Source organism: Homo sapiens, chromosome 11 (genome assembly GCF_000001405.40).
Source record: "Homo sapiens chromosome 11, GRCh38.p14 Primary Assembly".
NCBI classification, from domain to species: domain Eukaryota; kingdom Metazoa; phylum Chordata; class Mammalia; order Primates; family Hominidae; genus Homo; species Homo sapiens.
The window spans coordinates 78,726,249-78,744,786 of NC_000011.10; the positions used below are offsets into that span (position 1 = coordinate 78,726,249).

Genomic DNA, 18,538 nt, shown 5'->3' on the forward strand with positions numbered 1-18,538 from the left:
GCATAAGTGAGCAAAGCCCACTCTTTGGCCTTTAGACCTGTAGGCAAGGCCCCTGGCTTATCTTTTGTAGAAGAGGAAAAAAGGGTCATATTTCTAAGTGGCAACCAGAACGATGTGAAACACTAACACAAGGTTGCTGAGCCTTAATCATTTTTTCTTTTTTTTGGAAGATCAATTTTACATTTGGGGAAAAGTTAAAATAAATGTACCAATTACTTTAAAAGGATCTAAGTGAATCCCTTCCAAGGAAATAATCTTTAGTATGTGATGGGGTTTGTTTCTGTGTTCCCAACCCAAATCTCACGTTTAATTGTAATCCCCAGTGTTGGAGGTGGGGCCTGGTGGGAGGTGATTGGATCATGGGGTGGATTCTCATGAACGGCTTGGCACCATCCTCTTGGTGCTGTTCTCATCATGGTGAGCGAGTTCTCCTGAGATCCAGATGTTTAAAAGTGTGTAGCACCTCCTCCCACCACCCCAGGTCCTGCTCCTGCCATGTAAGATGGCTGCTCCCGCTTTGCCTCTGTCATGAGTCAAAGCTCCCTGAGGCTTCCCCAGAAGCAGATGCTGCCAGGCTTCCTGTACAGCCTGCAGAATCATGAGCCAATTAAACCTCTTTTCTTATAAATTGCCCAGTCTCAGGTATTTATAACAACACGAGAACGGACTAATATAGTATGGAAAATATTTTGTGCACAAGTCTTCACCACATTATTTAATATTGGAAACTTAGATGTAATCTAAAGGTTCAAGAGGGGTGAGAGGGTGAGCAAACCCAAGTGCATCCACTGTAGGAATACTATGACGCCACTGGAAATCACAGTGAAGAAGAATGTGGTGACCTGGGAAATGCTTATGGAGCAATGCTCAGTTGAAAAGACTGGTTATATATGGTAATTTGCATTAAAAGAAATTACGGGTTGGGCGCGGTGGCTCACGCCTGTAATCCCAGCACTTTGGGAGGCCGAGGCGGGCGGATCACGAGGTCAGGAGATGGAGACCATCCTGGCTAACATGGTGAAACCTCGTCTCTACTAAAAATACAAAAATTAGCCGGGTGTGGTGGTGGGCGCCTGTAGTCCCAGCTACTCGGGAGGCTGAGGCAGGAGAATAGCTTGAACCCAGGAGGCAGAGGTTGCAGTGAGCCACTGCATTCCATCCTGACGACAGAGCGAGACTCCGCCTCAAAAAAAAAAAAAAGAAATTATGTATGAAAAAAGAAAACTAGTTGTATTTGTTTACAGAATCACATATGACTTTTTTCTATTTTTGTCCATTTTTCAAATTTTTATTAACGACTATGGTGTTTTTTAAATTAGGAAAAATGTTTAAAGTCATTTACAGTGAATATATAGAAAAGGAACTTAGTTGGATTACTTTTAAAAAGCTGGAAGTTACTTTGAGGTTTCAAAGCTTTTGTTTCATAAATCCAGGACCCCTTAGAAGGTCACTGGGATGAAGGCTAAACATGACAGCCTCCCTGCCCCTGGGTGTGTAAAAAGTCCTGTAACTGGACTATGGAAAGGAACCAGCAGAGACAGGAATGCTATTTCTTCCAAGCGTCTTTCTGGGCAGCCACTATTTTCCAGTGGACAATATTCTACTACATGTTCAAGACAGGAATTAACAACTGAGCAGCTCCTTAAAGTTTCTTGTAGATGCCATAAAAGACTGCCGACCATTTATGGCAACGGGGGAATGGGCTGGAAGACGTCCCTGTGACCCCTTCCCCCATGGCCTTGAGTTCCTTAAGCAGCCACTGTGGTCACTTGTGATCTTAGGAAAGTGACTGCAGCCCAGTCACTTCCCTTTTTAACTGACTGGCGGGCACTAGAAGTGCTCATTTTTTCTCAAGAGGTTATAAGGCCTCATTTTAAAAAAGACGACAGAAGTGGCTTGATCTACAGAAGGGATCATGAACAGTGAGAGATGGCACCTTTGCTCCCACTGTGCCCTTCTTTGGTAGGATTGTATGCGAACCCATAGGAAAGATCTGGAATAAATCCAGCTCTGTTCCTTTCTAGCTGTGCATCTCACTGGGAAGTCATCTCAATTCTCTGGGCCTCAGCTTCTTAATGCAGAATTTGGGGGTGACAATTTTTGACTCACAGAGTATAAGGATTAATGGAGTGACTAATGTACAGGGGCACACATTGCCCACAGTAGGTGCTCAAGCAACATTCTTTTATTTCCTTCCCACCTCTCTCCTCCTCTTCTTCCCCCCTCTTCCTCCCTCCCTTCCTTGCTTCTGCTCCCTCCCTCCCTTCCCTCTTCCCGCCTCCTTCCCTCCCTCTCTTCCTCTTCCTCCTTCCCTCCCTTCCTTCCCCACTTCCTTCCTTTCTAAAAACATTACTTCTCTGCTTCCTCATTCTGCCTTTGCTGAATCTCTACCTTTGCTGAACCTAAGGGAATGAAATTGGAGTGGGGTTCAAGACGAGAAGGGATTTGCTGGATGGTTACTCTTAAGTGCTTGGTGGATCAACTCCGCAGGGTTAGGCCTGCTGAGAGTCTAGCTCTGAGCCCTTCCTAGGACCTCCTCTAATCTGGAAGCAGAAATGCATACAGCCAGCCCCTGGAAGCCCAAGGGCCAAGAGAGGCTAGGACTCCAGGTGAGGCTACAGCCAACTTCTGTTTCATCTTACAAAGAGACAGCAATAACAAAAACAAAGAGATGACCTCTCTGACTGGGTAAAGAGGCCAAAAAGCATTTTTGATGGAGGAAGAATCTTAGTTACTGCACCTCAAAAAAAAAAATGAAAGAAACCATTTTTTAGCTCTCCTATTTTAATGGGTAAGTTCCCACAGGATGGCTGTGGGGTGGCCAGGCAATGTCCACCTGGCCCTGCCTTTGTGGCACATGACCTCTTTTAGCCCCTCACAAGCCAGCACAGCACTTTTCAGGGCCCTTTGGTTCTGTAGCCTCATTGTAATGGTCGGGTTTTCTACATTCAGGTCTTTCAGTTCACATTCTTTTAGGTCCTGGCCAGTCACGGACAGGTCTTAAAGGTCAATTAAGCCTTAGGTATTTTTGATCTGAGAAGAGGAAGGAAGGAAGAAGGAACTAGGGAGGTAGAAAGAGTCCTCCCTGCAAGAGCTATTCTCTGAGTCCTGCAGCCGGGAGGCTTACCAAAGGCTTCTGAAAGCCCAAACACCTTCTGGTTGTAGACGTCTGTCTTGTCCCAAATGAAATAATAGGACAGGTCTGGGGCTGCAGCGAACCACTTCCTGAAGAGGCGGCCCTCCACCGCTACCATGAGGTGCACCTTCATGAGGTTGAAGGGGATGGTCGGGTGGGTGAGGCTGATCCTCAGGACAGATTTGTAGCCAGGGGTCCGGCTGCTCAGGTAGCTCAGCCTCATCTTGCAGCCAGAGATAGAGATTTCCTCCTGCAAAGCCTAGAAAGCAGAGGCAGATCACAGCAAGGGACGGTCGTCGACTCACCGAGTGGAGGGAAGATGGCGTGGCCCCATGGACTCTGGGTGTTCAGGAGGTAGAGGGAAAGGCAGAAGGAGAGAGGAGGGGAAAAAAAGAGGAGACAGTGGAAAGAAGAGGGGAAGCAGAGGGTGAAGAGAAGCAGGAGGAGGAGGAGGAAGGGAAAAGCATAAATGAGATGGGAGAAAGATTGGGGAGGAGTAAAACATGTCAGAGGACCTGGTATCTGGGGCCAGTTTTCATGTGGTGACCCTGCAGGAGTCACCTCACCTCGCCAAGCCTCAGCCTCCTGCTCTGTACAACAGGGATGACAGCACTCATTTCACTGCAGTTTTGAGAGGAATACATAGGATATGCATATAAAATACTTAGATCACATTGCCACTGGTTCTCAAGCTGTGTTATCCTAGAAAGCTCACGGAACCTCTGAATCTCAGTCTCCTCACTGGCTTTGTGTGAGGACTGAGAAAGGTCACATAGGTAAAGTGCCTAGCACAGAAACGCTGTCAGGTGGCATGCAGTGCTGCTGCTGCTGGTGGTGGTGCTGGCAGGAGGGATGCCATGAAGAGAGACTACTGCGGCCAGCTGCCTAAGCAGGAAGGATGGTTTCTCTCTCAAAACTTTCCTCAAATGAGATCTGTTCCAAATGACTTTCCTTTTCGGGAAATTAAACAGACACTACGAGATGTTGACCAAACAAATAATTATGCAGAGTTCAGACCACAGCCTGGCAGGACCTGTGGTTCACAGCCCCAGCTCATCCACAGAGAGAGGTTGGACTGGCTGCACGGAGCTTCTGGCCACTCTGGGCCCCAGCTCCAGTGCCAGATGGACAGAGTGGGGAAGGCTATGACCCGGGGAACGCTCAGGTCACTTAGCTACTGGGTGCAATGAGCCTAGTTCTAAGTTGGAAAGTTTAAATGAATGCCAGCATGCCCAAGCAGACAGCAAAAGCAGATAACTTTATCAGCTTGATGCGCTGGGCTCTGTTTCAAGAAAGGAACATTAAATCAATTGAGGCTATTGTATCTATTCAAGGGACAATGGCTATTCTACCCTACGTTTACAGTGGATCTGGGCCTTTTTCATCCTGTCCATTTCATAGACAAGTGTGAACGTTTACCCTCACCCCATTCTCCTGAACACAGGAAATTTTAGGGATTGGGCTTAAACTAAGGCAATCTTCCTAAACTACAGCTTATAAGTTTGAGGCAAAGCAGGACTTATACCCTGGTGAGCCCCTGGCATGACTGAAGTGCCATCCTGATGCTCTCAAAAATATTTACCTTCTTTAACATACCCTTTAAAATTCATATCTCCCAGCACTTGCAAAGGTTAACCTGTGAGAGGACTGGGAAAATCCAAGAGTTTGTTTATGTGTATTTCATGAATCTGATAATAAGCAAGATTTTTGCCCTAACTGAACGTGCAGGCACCCAGCTCAGGGAGCACTGTAAAGAGGGTGTGACCTTTAACCCCTTTTGTTCCAGAGTCCCTGCTCCTGGGAAAAATGTCTAGCTGGAGCTGAGCCAGGGTTGAGTAACAAATTACTTCTCTCCAGCAAGCTCTGTCTCCACTGACAACCATTTCATAAGAAAGGTCAGCCTGGTAGTTGAGACAGGAGACAGGCGCTGAATCTCTGAAAAGGAGGTTTCAACCTGTGAGTGCAATGAGAATTTCAAAATGATTGTATGTCCTTCTTGTTGGCTGGCATCGGAAGCCACTCAACAGGGTACGCACGGAAAGGTGTTTGCTCAGCCAGGCATGAAATATACACAAAAAAATATATAAAATCCCTGCTCCACCAGCGCCCGCAATCCATTAATAGGCACATTGCCTGAGTTCTCATTAGGCAGGTGAGACAACCGGGACTTCTCCTGGGCTTCTACACTGACATCTCTCCACTTCCTCAGGCCTTCACTGCTGCCATTAGAAACTGGGCTGGGGACAGCGAAGGAAATTCAACTGGCAGAGCTTTGTTAGGTGAAAATATCTATCTTGATTTCCATCAGATTAAAATGCATCTTTCCCAATTACTTTCTTTTAATGATAGTTAAGTAAAGCAGTTGTATGTACAGATTTGAGCCAAGGCAATCCTTAATTGGCATGAAGGCAGCGTGTGTTAAATAATCTTAATAATAATAGCTAAAATTTATTGAGTACTTATTAGGTGACAGACATTGTGCTAAGCATCTCATATACATTTTTCTCATTTAATCTTTATTATAATGCTCACTCTTCGGGATCCTTTGGCACATTCCTCTTGGTAGAACCATTTATTTTAAGTAGTTTTAACAGAAATAATGACAGAGGGACACAGGAGGCTGGGGAAAAGGAAAGTAGGCAGAAGTGAACTAACCAGGAGAGTGGAAAGACAGAGAGAATTTAGTATAAACCAGAGTGTGCCAGGCAGTTCCAGGCACTCATGTGTTTTCCATGTGTAAGAGGGGTGCCCCTCATGCCCTTACACCATGCCTGCTGTGGGGTTTGGTGGCTGGATTTTGCATAACAGGCTGATGGGACCTGACCCAAGCCCTACAGAGGTGTTTTTTCTCTTTCCACTGTCTCTGAGATCCTCCTCCACCCCCAAAATGAAATAAAAGCATGGTGGAATGCAATTAGGAAAGCTGGGTACCTGAATTTCCGGCACAATGGGGCCTTTCTCTGCACAGGAGCTGGCGAAGGACGTCAGTGGGGATGGAGAGACGACTGGGTTGGGGCGGGCAAAATTGCTCAGGTCACAGCTGGGAATCTCATTCTCCTCATGTCTCATGATGATGGTTTCCATGACAAAGAAGCGATCCCATGGCAGCCACAGGGTGTGCTCCTGTGTGATGAAAGGTGCCCGCTCGAACCGCAGGATGATGGAGATGCCGCCATTTGTCACCAAGTCAAAGCTGTTTGGGAGGGGAAGGTTGAGAAGGGGCGGGGAGCAGGAAGAGCAGGAACCAGGATGAGAAAGAGAGAGACAAAGAAAGGGGAGAAAATTACACCAAAGGGTCTCAGCATTTCTTGAGGGAGGCTCTAATGCCTAAATATTTGACTGCAGCTCCAAACAATGGCAGTGATTTTAGAAAGCAGTTTTTTTTTACCCCATAAAATGATTCACATAGAGAATTTGCTGAAATGAACCACTGCTGTGGAGAGCCATTTTTCAGGATACACAAGAGCTGACAGTGGTGCTGCTGGTACTTAGGGCCTTTCAACCATGTCAGAGCTGAAAGCCCAGTGAAAAGTCAGTGAATAAAGTAGGGCAAGCCTTGATCTGGGTGTTAGAACCCCAAGCCTGGTCCTGGCTCTGTCTTCAACTATTATGTGATCTTGGGTAAGTCACTTAGCCTCTTTGATCCTCATTTTTTTCATCTGTAAAATGCAAAGGCTCAAATGGATTATTCTTAAGTCTCTAAGATTCTATGACTCCACAGCAATCTTAGCTCTAATTGTGATAGATTACTCAACAAAGGCCTTTGCAATTACAAAATAGCTAAGCAGTTTAAAGATGGCTCAATTAGAAACACAGTATCTTACAAGTGAAAGGAGAACCAGAAGACTGAGTGCCAGCCTCCTAGTTGAGATGAGATCACTGTGACAGCATCTGGAGAGCTGGCAGCCCAGCCTCTGTTCATCAGCCTCTGAGGATGCTGGGGAGGTCTGAGGAGAAACCTGCCCTCCTAGTCCTAGTTCTGTCTTCAATGTGACACCAAATGGGTTTGCTCTATGATGGTCTCCAGGCCTTCCCTGATCCTAGATGACCCCCTGCTAAGTCCCTCTTGTTTCAGGCTTGTGGGGATTGTACAGGCAGAGTCTTCCTTGCCTCACCCCAGAATATCTTGTGCCCAAACAGGACCCAGCCAGAAACATACTGGCAGCTCTGTTTGGTGCTGGCATCTTAACTCCAATCACCTGCAGACAAACCTAGCAAGGCACGTTCCCATCCAAGCCTTGGCATGCACTTTTACTTTTTGAACATTGAAGAAAACTGAGTTCCTCCCTATTTGTACACCCAATGTTTCTGACACTGCCCAGCCCCACATGGAACCTGATTTGAGGGTTCTGCAGCCACATGTTTAGAAGCCAGATGGACTCAGATTATAGATAATGGGAAAAGAGGGCCACATGTGAACCAAGGTACATCACTAATCCGGCAGGCTGGGTCTGCTGAATTAAGAAGAGGGCATAGCATGGCTGCTACTTAAAGCCCTATCATGCAATAAGACATAAGACTAGGCCAGGCATGGTGGCTCACATCTGTAATCCCAGCACTTTGGGAGGCCGAGGAGGGCGGATCACCTGAGATCAGGAGTTCGAGACCAGCCTGGTCAACATGCTAAAACCCCGTTTCTACTAAAAATACAAAAGTGATGTGAACTAAGTGATGGTGGGTGCCTGTCATCCCAGCTACTTGGGAGGCTGAGGCAGGAGAATGGCTTGAACCTGGGAGGCAGAGGTTGCAGTGAGTTGAGATTGCACCACTGCACTCCAGCTTGGGTGACAGAGTGAAACCTGTCTCAAAAAAATAAAAAATAAAAAATAAAAAATAAAAAGATGTAAGACTAGAATTTTGTGTCCTTTCTCTTCTTAAAACAGAAAGTTGAAATCAAGTAATAGGTGAACCACTGGAGAGGAACTTAATGGTCATCTGACCTAGCCCCCCTCCCATCTGATGCATCAGTTCCTTCTATAGAACCACCATCAAGGGCTCATTCAGTTCCTACTTATGCAATTCCAGAGATGAGGAGATTGCTATATCCACAGGAGGACTGTTCTGTTTTAGGTTAGTTCTGACTGTTAGAACTTTTTTTTTTTTTTTTTAAATTGAGTGTGGGTCCCTCTCTTTCCAGCTTCTTATTCACTGGGCCTGATGTCTGTCTCCTGGGTGACTTCAAACTAGTCCATTCCTTCTGTCACACCCTGGCTGTAGTAGGCATTTTCAAAGCCTGTCTTAATTGGCTTTGTTGGATGGAGAACTCCTAACTATCAAACTGTATAGCTCAAACTTCACCTCCCCCACACAGCCTTACCCAGTCAGAATTCCAGCTTCCTCCCTGGGTTCCACTGCCCCACACGCATGGCATTGCACTGTCATTGCTTGTTGAGCTCTCTGGCCCAGGGACATTGAGTCCTCTGTCTTTTCAGAAACTAGCCCAGTGCTTGATGCTTAAAAGTTGATGGAATAAATGCATGAGTGACAGCATCAGCTGCTCCTGAACTGACATCTACTAAACACCCTACGTCCCTTCTTACTTTGGCTGTTACTGCAGTTAAATCTAAGGTTCATCTGGGCAGTTGGTGTGAGAGACCTCAATGCAGGATCTGATCTTGACTCTGATAAATCCACCATGTGGGAATGGGCCCATTGCTGCAGCTTGCTCTTCTCTCCTCCAGAGACTGAAAGGATTCCGCATGGAACCATCCTTTCCTAGTGTCAAGTTCTGCTCTTGGTAGATGGCATCCCCAGATTTGGGGCTCCAAGCTCCAAAGCCTGACTCTTCCACCCTTTGCAGGAGCTATCACCCGTTTGCCTGTTCCTCATTCACTTAGATGAAGTTGAGTACCACCATCATTCAATGACAGAGAAACACCTGAGGTGGGGTTTATTTTGAATCAATAATTCAGGTTTTGGCTCTCCAGGAGAATACCCATGGTTTTGGGGAAATACTCAAAGAACAATTTTTCTGTCACAGAACTGAATAGCATCTGTGCCTTGATAGAACATTTTTAACTGTCAAACAGAATTTTAGCCAGACTTATAAGCTCCCTTCATGAGAGGCTGTATGTGAGGAGGGAGGAAAGACAAACATGAAAAGACATATTCCCAAGGCAGTGAGCAAGCAGGGGGCAGCTGGCCTTGCCAAGAGCAAGTAATGAGCTGGGGCTAGGCCCGCTCCTCTGGAGGGGAAACCCTGCTTTGGACATGAATGTGAATGTGACCCCAAAGGGAAGGCCTGGTTATCATATGAAGCCCAAACAGCGCAGGGCCATTCTGAACACTACTACTTGCTCCATGGGTGAATTATATCACCTTTCCAAGCCTCAGTTTTCTCATTTGTAAAATGAAGCTGATGATCATAATCATTTGGCAGGGTTATTGATTATACAGATGGGATAATAGATGGGAAAAGCACAGGGCCTCACACATTCCCTTGTCTTGGCTCCCACCCCTCCCCTCCCCTCCTCTCCTCTCCTTTCTTTTCTTCCTTTCCCCCTTTCTCCCTTTCCTTTCCCCTTTTCTCCCTTTCTCTCTTTTCTCTTTCTTTCTTTCTCTCTCTCTTTTTTCTTTTGAGACAGGGTTTCACTCTGTCACCCAGGCTGGAGTGCAGGAGTACAGTGGGGCAATCATGGCTCACTGAAGCCTTGACCTCCCTGGGCTCAAGCAATCCTCCCACCTCTGCCTCCTGGGTTGCTGGGACTACAGGTGCATGCCACCACACCCAGCTAATTTTTGTATGTTTTTTTGATAGAGACATGGTTTTGCCATGCTGCCTAGGCTGGTCTTGAACGCCCAGGCTGGTCTTGAACTCCTGTGCTCAAGTGATCCTTACGCCGTGGCCTCCCAAAGTGCTGGGATTACAGATGTGAGCCACTGCATCTGGCCCCCAATTTTTAATTCAATGAGCCTAATCTACATCTCTTGCCTGCTGTTCTTTTAGTTTTTCTTCATGGCCTCTATTTTCCATTTTTTAAATGATCTCTTTGGCTAACTTCTCTGCTACTGTTTTCTGTTTGTAAGCTCCTGTTAAGGTGTGAAGTCTGGGATTTCAGCAAGTGTGTGTGTGTGTGTGTGTGTGTGTGTGTGTGTGCGCGCGCGTGCATGTGAGTAGGGGTGGGGGAGCTGGATGAGGGCAAGTATCATGGTGCCTTCCTGGAAAGCGAAGAATACATGTCCCTGGACTTTCAGTCCACTTGTGCACACTGTTATTTCCAGACTATATCTCTTAGTCTTATGGTTTTTCGTAAGGTACGGGAGGTAAGAAAGAAGGTGAGTTAAGGAAGGGTGGGAGGGCAGTGATACCTGTTCACATGTAACAAACAGAGATTTTTGGATACTAAGAGAACAATTGATAACTTTCCCATACATTATGCAGTGGCTGAGTTGGGAAGAAAATTTGAGCCCCAAAATGCATTGGTAAGAATTGATCTGAAATTCAAGCTCTGTTGCAGCAATTCTGGCTACGTGATGTAATTTAGGAGGATGATGCAGGAAACAGGGCTGATATTTAGCTCCATGCTCTCAGTGGGCAGTAGAAATTGTAGAGGAAGCACAAACAGGAGGAATCAGGAAGTGTCAGAGACTGAGCTTTCCCCAAAGGCCACTGAACTTATGCCAGACTCGGTGTGTTTTATGAATCTACTCTAACCAACCACAACAGGGCATAAGGACTGACGATTTGCCATCTCACAGGAGTGACTGGCAAGTTTCATGGCAAAAGTCAGTCCTGAAAGACTCCTTTTGGATGAATGTTTCACAGCAGGTAATAATGTGGTCAGAATACCTGTTGCCTAGGAGGCTCACATCTGCCACTTTCATACAGCAGGCAGCATCCTTCATGCTGTAGTGGGAGTCTTCATGAGGGCCTTCCTGGGTGGGAAGGTGTATAGGGTAGGGAACAGTGGCCTGGCCTGGCCAGTTTATCCCTGAAGACTGGCCACTAATGTCTTCCAGCTGGGCCTCTTCCTATTCACATGGAGTGAGAGGTGGGGAGGGGGCACCCCATGCCAAGCTTGCCAACCCCATCTAAGAGGCACACATGTCTACAAACAGATGAGCCTCTACTTCATTATCACCTCGGCCGGGACATGTTCACATCTGATATTGGATTAAAGAGGTGCTAAAATCAATCAAGCTGGAGCATAATTTCCAACACAGAGTGAAAATCAACCTTATGGGCCCACGCTTAGCCAGATGGACTGCCACCACCTGGTTTTATTAAAAATAGAGGACTTGTCACCACTGACAGCCTAAATATTCCACTTTCCTCCTTTTTTCCTTTTCTCCAAAATATTCTCATTGCCTGTCCTGTCACCATCACTTACTCATTCAATAATCTGTAATTTTAACAAATAGCTAATATTTATTGTATACTTACTATGTGCCAGACACTGGAAATACAGCAATGAATCAAAGTGGGGTGGGGAACTAAGATTTGTTAACCACGTACTATGCGCCAGGTGCTTCCCCATTCACCATATCTTCTAACCCTCAAAACCAATCTGTGAGATAAACAGCATTAGGACCATTTAACAGATGAAGCCAAGACACAGAGAGGTAAGGAGAATTATCCTAGGACACACAGCAGGTGGGAGAGCTAGGGCCATTAAGGAAGTTTTATTTCATTCTGCTGATGGTTCTTGGAGGAATTCAAAGGTCAGAATTCTGTCATCACCCAAATGGCTTACATAGATCTAAGCAGCTGCAGGATGGAAACCACATAACAGGAATGGCTGAGATTTCTCAAGCTGTCTGTTCTGCAGAAAGTGGTTCGCATGACTGTTTTATATCATAAGTCATGGAGCAGGATATGTATAAGGTACCCTCTCCTTACTCTGAGAACCAAATGAGAAGAAACTGCTAAATCTAGAGTCAAAGGGACATAGGCCAGAGTTAGGTACAAGGTCATACAATTAGTAAGTTGCAGAGCTGGGCATTTGAATTCAGGCCCTCTGAATCCAAGACCCATCCTCTTTCCACATTATCAGTCCAGCAGCAGCTATATGGCAAGACCACAAGAGCGGGACCTTCACTGTTTCTGGCTCATAGAAGGTCTCCTACCTGCCATCTTGCCTGCTGATTGTATATCCAAAGAGAGGGTTATTGACAAAACTGATGTTCACACCAACCAGGGGGGTTCCATCTGATGTCATCACTTGGCCACGAATAACACAAGCATGCCTGTGGGAAGAGAAGAGAGAATAAACATGATACACCTTTCATGGTCAGAGCCCTGGCTGGCAGGGAACCCCGAGAGGCCAGAAGCCAGAAAATCAGTCACTCAGACACATCTTGTACCCAGGGGTTCATGGTGTTCACTCAAGATGCATAATAATCTTTAAAAAATATCACCTCAGTTTAGGGCATCAAAGTGTCCTTGAGAGAATTACTATTGGCAGGTGATTCAATGATCTCACTCGGAGGTTATTTTCTAAGGATACTGTATTATGCTGTAAGGAGATAAAGCTGATCACAGAGGGCAATATCGCCTAGTTCTGTGTGTGGATGTGTAGTTCAATGATCTGGGGTCTAATCTTGGCTCTGCCACTTCCTAGCTCTCTGAACTTCAGTAGGCATGTGCCAGTTCTTTGAGGCTTTTTTTTTTCATCCTGGTATAGGGTAAGCTCCACAAATGACAATGGCTATTACTGTTATTAACAGTCTCATTGGAAGTGAACATACAAAAAAGTGAGCAGGAGAGAAGGTACTTCCTTTCATCTGACATTCGAGACAGGAGAAGGACAGATGCTAGCATGCTCTCAGAGTGAGTTTTGGAACCTGACACCTCTCCCAATATCCCTCCTCCCACTCTTACTCTATATTTTGGACAAGAAATTACCTGCTTTTCCCAAACTTGCCAGGCAAATGTTGCTTAGTGCCTCTGTCTGTGCAATGTTCTTCCATCTGCCTAAAATGTCATTCCTGCACTCCTCTCCCAACTATTTCACCCTTGAAGAGCCAACTATTAATGACACCTCTTCCTTGAAGCCTTTCTTGATGTCCCTAATCAGAACTAGTTCCTCTCTCCCACAAAACCTGATGCAGACACCTTGATACTCTACCAAACCATACACACTCCTCCCTTCCACTAGATCCTGAGCTCTTTGAGGGTAGGTCAAGATTTCTTTCTTTCTCCTCACAGTGCCTGAACTATGTCTAACAAATGCTAGGTTGCCACTGAAAACATGGTGGTTGAGCAAATAAATGGGACAACTAGAGATCATCTAGAATGGTGGCTTTTTAAACATTCAGAAACAGAAACGTTAGGGTAGATGACATTTTATAAGGACTCCAAAGTGGAAAACGAATGAAAAGATCTACGCTGGATGAAGTCGGGATGGAGGCCTCCTCTCCCTTGGGGTGATTTTGAAGGCAACTCTGTGGAGTTTCCGTGTCTGCAGAAGTCAGTTGGAAGATCCCTAAGTTAGTGGAACTTTCTCATTGTATGGAAGAGGAAACTGGTTTCCAGAGAGGTTATATTATGTGCCCGAAGCTCCATAGAAAGCAGGTGATAGAGGCAGGACTTGAACCTGGGCCTCACCACTCCAGGTCCCACTCTAACCAGTCACTTGCCACTGGCCGTGGGTGGAAATGAAGGCACTGGCTGGTGCAATGTCCTCAAGGATCCGCACATTGGGGAGAAAGCCCTCGCTGAAAGACAGCTGAGTCAAAAACGCAGGTGCTGCGCACCACATAACCTTCTCTATTCACCTCAGGTGAGAAGGCTTTTTCTTCTGGCCTAGGGAAGAGCTACTGACGAGGCCCATGGGCATTCATTAAAAAAAGATCTCAAATTCAGTAACTGCCGTATGAAGTACCCACACCTCTACCTTCCTAGAGTGATAAACTTTTCTCTGTTGGACGAGAAAAGCAATTAACACCAGGCTTGTGAAGCAGCTGGTCTCACTAGTGTCAGCTTGTCCTTTCTGAAGGCAAGAACAACTACCCACAATGCACCAGACTCCCCACCCCACCCCACCCTCCTCACCTCACTCCACACAATCTGGTTAATGCTAATTCAGTCAGTGGTTTCCTTCCGAGGCCCTTGGTCTAAATGCAATTACACGGCAAACAAGTTAAGCGGGTGAGGCTCAGCAAAGACTTTCAATTCTGCTCTGAAGGTCTTCCAATGTATTTATGTGAAATTATCTCTCCGCTAATGGGGAAGATTTATTCCACCGATTGTATTCAGCTGGTGCTGAGAGATGTTTTCTTTAATGGAGGACAATTGAATTTCGTATTGCTGGAACTCTGTCCTTCCAGAGAATTACTGACAGATCTCATCTCCTGACGCTGGCCACCAGCCAGCCTTCTCCAGACATATGTGCCTCTGGATTCTGCCTGGACAGAAACCAGTCCTGGGGGGATGGCTTCCTTTCTGGGGCTGTCCTGGCTGCTGCCCCTAATACACATGCAGGCCAGCCTCCTCTGATTGATCTCTCTTTGGGGATTTCCTGATAATTGGGAAACATTGAATCGGCACCATTTGGCTACCATGTAGCCTCCAACTTGGCAAGCCAGAGCAGATGCAAGTTTAGCCTGGGCTCCCGTGGATTGCTTTTGGATTCTGGGGAAGATTAGGTTGACTCCCTGGACGCCGATAGGCCATAGAGGCCTCTTGCCAACACAGGCATTTGGCTCAGGAATTAAATCCTGGAGAAAAACACTTCCATCCCTGTTCTGTTTTCATGATTTTCACTTGTCTGGAAAGCCCAGATTAACATAAAGCCTTCCCTGGAACAAAGGAGATGGGAAGTCAGCTTGGTGGGGGCCTCTGAATTGTGTCTTGTGCCACATGCATTTGTCCTGGGAGGTTTGAAAAGATGTGAGTGCTGGGCTTCCCAATGCTTGCTTTCTGCATCCATTTATTTAATGGATACTATCAGTGGGGTGCTGGCAAATGTTTAATGACCGACTTTTGAAAAAAAAAAGAAACAAAAAGAAAACCAGCTTCAGTTGCAGCGTTTGCTCATTTCTGTGGTGTAAATACTCTCATCATGGCTGTTTTCAAGCTACCAATGAGATGCCACTGAACACAGAGGTGGGAAGAGACACACAGGAGGATGCCATTATGCGGTACTGCCACCGTGGAGACGCGATGGTCCTGAGTAACCTCAAGAGCAAACGTAACATCAAACATGGCAAAATAATTAGAAAGTAGTAAGTTTTGAGTATTTATTACCTTTGTTTTTAATGTACCTTATTTAATTTTATATAATTTAATTTTTAATAATGGCTGTGTTTAACAACCAGCTTGCAGAATTTCTGAACATTTAATAATCAGTTCTTGCGAACTGGTTCAAGCTGGCTTCTGCATGCCACTGGAACACTGACCCTACACTGAGGGTTGGGCACTCGCTCAGGGCTGGAGATGTGGCTAAGAAATAGTTGCTGCTTTGAACGTAGAACTCCGCAGTGGAAGACTGCCTTAACTGCCTTAGTGAAAAACCATTAACGTGGGAGCAAATCACTGTCACCGACTTGGCTTCCCAGCTAGCTCATATGATCCTCTATTACCAGTCCTCTATTTGACATGATTTGCTTCCTCATGGTCACTGTCTTGGTGTAATGGAGTTTTGGACTGTTATTTTCTACTCGTCCTTAGAGTCTCATCTAAGCTGTCACCACCTCAGTAAGGTTGTCATCAACTTTTCCTGACACAATGAATCACCCCCTCCTTTGGGCTTTTATACACCTTATAAGTATCTCTCTAGTATTTGATGGTCGTATGTTTATATCATTTGCATTATATAGCCATCTCACATGTTTACGTGTGAGCCAGAGGAGGGCTGGACCACATCTCCAGAGAGGATAAGCACGGGATGCTGCTCTCAGAGTGTTTGTTAAGTGAAAAACAATCAAGTAACTGAAAGAGAGAAAAAGACTTGCTCGAGGTCACCCAGAAATGAATTCACTTGGCTGAGCTGACACTAAAGCTAGGTCTTCTTACTTCTGAGGCCTTAATCTTACTACTGTGTTATGTACCTGCAGTCACTAAAATTCCTTTAATTTCACAAAAAATCAGGCGCCTACTATGAGCCAGGCTCTGTGTTAGGTGCTGAGTTCCAGAAATGTATGAATTACGATCTCCACTTACTTGCTAGAGCTCACTAAAGCCAACGTGAAATGCCCCCGTGTAGTTTTCTCTGACACCAGTGAGTCAACACTTGGGTTTGGCATATGTCAGGCAGCTGGGATATAAAACAAGCAGTTAGGCTAGGTGAACTCTGCCAGGAGGGAGCGCTTGTGCCAAGCCAAGGGTGGTGTCAAACATACTGGCATGAGTCCAACCACACACTCAGGGCCTGACTGAGGTGCCCTTGCCGACGCCAACAAGGGAAAAGATCTGCCTGACTGCTTCCTGAAGAGAGTGACAAGGTTTGGGATCAACAGAAGAATCTGCTGGAGAGACAAAACCACTCCAAAACAAAATCAAGCAAATAAAAAGCCAACCTCAACTGTTGCTCAGGGAAAAGTTGTAGGGCTGTGGTGGCAAGAGCACTAGGCTGGGAGTCATAGTTCCCAGTTCTGACTCTGGGAACTAACTGTATGATTTTGGAGTCATCTGACCTCTCTGAACCTCCATTCTCTCATCTGTCAAATGCAGGCTGAAGTTTTTCCCAACCTGGTATAAAATAGAATTCAACATATGTTTAAGAATTTATAACTGTTTTAATCTCATACTACCCAATCCAGCTAAAGCAGCCCTACTGCACGTGGCTTCAGAATCTTAATGGAGCTCATGCAATACTTATACTTATCACTAAATTGTTCCCTCTATCTGGAAACTTCCACCTCTCCTAGGGCATTCACCAAGCAGTATACACCACTCCTGCTCCTTCTGGGCTACTCCTCATGAACTCTGAGTGCTGTTGCTCTGCCAGGACAATCTTTTCCCCAGCAGAACATGAGCTCCATGAAGACAGGGACCAACCACATGTCCCTTACTGCTATATTCCCAGCATTGATCACGGTTGATGGTCATTTCTGAGTGGGGAAAAGAAAACCTCCTCCAAAACAGGTGTTTGCTCTGGAATTCGAATGCAGGGCACAGAGTAAGTTCTTGATAAATTATTTATGCAATGAATAAAGAGCTTATGTGCTTCTGTAACTTAAGGTGAGGGCGATGTTAGAGAACTTTGAGCTACTTGACCTTGACAGGGATATGGTTAGAGAACCTAGGGCTGGAAGGGTTGTGCCCTTTCAAGAGGCCAGCCCGCACTCTCCCTCAAGGCTTGGGTACCTTCCCCTGGAAGACTCACTTGCCTCAGCCTAGCCCTGACCCTTTGATTCTATACCCTCCTCATCTGTACCACCTGTGATCTGAAAAACTTTGAAAAAGAATGCCAGAAACAAAGTTAGATTGATTATTCAATGTATATTATACAAGCAGATAAAGGAAGGCAAAGGGAGAAAAACTGCAGCTTTTATTATTTTGTGTGTGTGTTATTTTGTTATTAAGTGAAAGCAGCTACTTTGGTATTCAGGAGACGGGAATATCATTTGGGATCTAGGTGGCAAATGATAAATCTAGCCTTTCTCTCCTTTAAAGTATTTGCTAGTCTATGCCATTATTGATTATGTAAATCACTCCTTTGCATTGTGTATTTTAAACAGGTTTTTTTGCCTGACTTGTGTAAATCCTTAAACTGTTTTCTGCTAACTTCTGCTGATTGAATGGGGATCTTTCCAGCATCTACTACAATTTACCTGAAGTCTTGTAAGAACATTACCTGGGCCCAAATGAGAAGCCTCACTTCAGAGCCTGTTAAATTACTGCCACTGAAGGTGTTTCCAGTCACAGCCTGACATTGTCCTCTCTGCAGCTCCCAAGACCATCTTTCAAGCCCAGCCACCAGGCTGATCTGTAGCTCTCTCTTCCTAGTTTTCCATCTGACGCTCTACCTCAGTTTCTTGAACCAGCTTTTCCAGCCCAACATCTTCTGCCTATATACGTATTCTTGGGAAACCCCTGATTATGAAACATTCGAGTCAGAAGAACCCTTCCTGATCACCTCTTTCAAACTTCTTTTGGTAAAGGTGAGAAAATAAAGTTCAGACAGGGAATGGACTTGCCCATTCTTGCAGACTTGTGGGGAGCCAGGACTGAATCAAATGCAGGATTCGCCATGAGAACTTGGGAGAGTCACTCCACCTCTTAAGATACTTGCAGTCTGACCGACACGTACTGAAATAATTGAGAATCCCAATTTGTCTTGGCTTCACAATTCAGGGTTCACATAATTAGAGCCGGGTTCTGGAACCATTTTTGATTGCACGCCCTTTCTGTAAACATTTTTGAGCAGGCTCCTTCAATGTACTTGCATTCATTTATAAATCGCACACATGTGCTACCATCGCTGGTTCACCTTGGGAAGGGTAACATACATTTGGTGC

At 45.6% G+C, this 18,538-nt stretch overlaps 1 protein-coding gene across 10 annotated transcripts in view; it reads right to left on the bottom strand.

Annotated features, from left to right (window-relative positions):
* The window catches only part of TENM4 (teneurin transmembrane protein 4), a 788,202-nt gene that overhangs the window by 73,420 nt on the left and 696,244 nt on the right, over positions 1–18,538 (bottom strand). For all 10 annotated transcript variants that reach the window (XM_047426739.1, XM_047426737.1, XM_047426736.1 and 7 more), the window contains 3 exons: positions 12,203–12,322; positions 6,068–6,329; positions 3,128–3,395 (listed from right to left, as the gene is read on the bottom strand). In XM_047426739.1, coding sequence (XP_047282695.1) covers positions 3,128–3,395; positions 6,068–6,329; positions 12,203–12,322 — 650 coding nt within the window. The remainder of the gene's footprint in view (positions 1–3,127; positions 3,396–6,067; positions 6,330–12,202; positions 12,323–18,538) is intronic.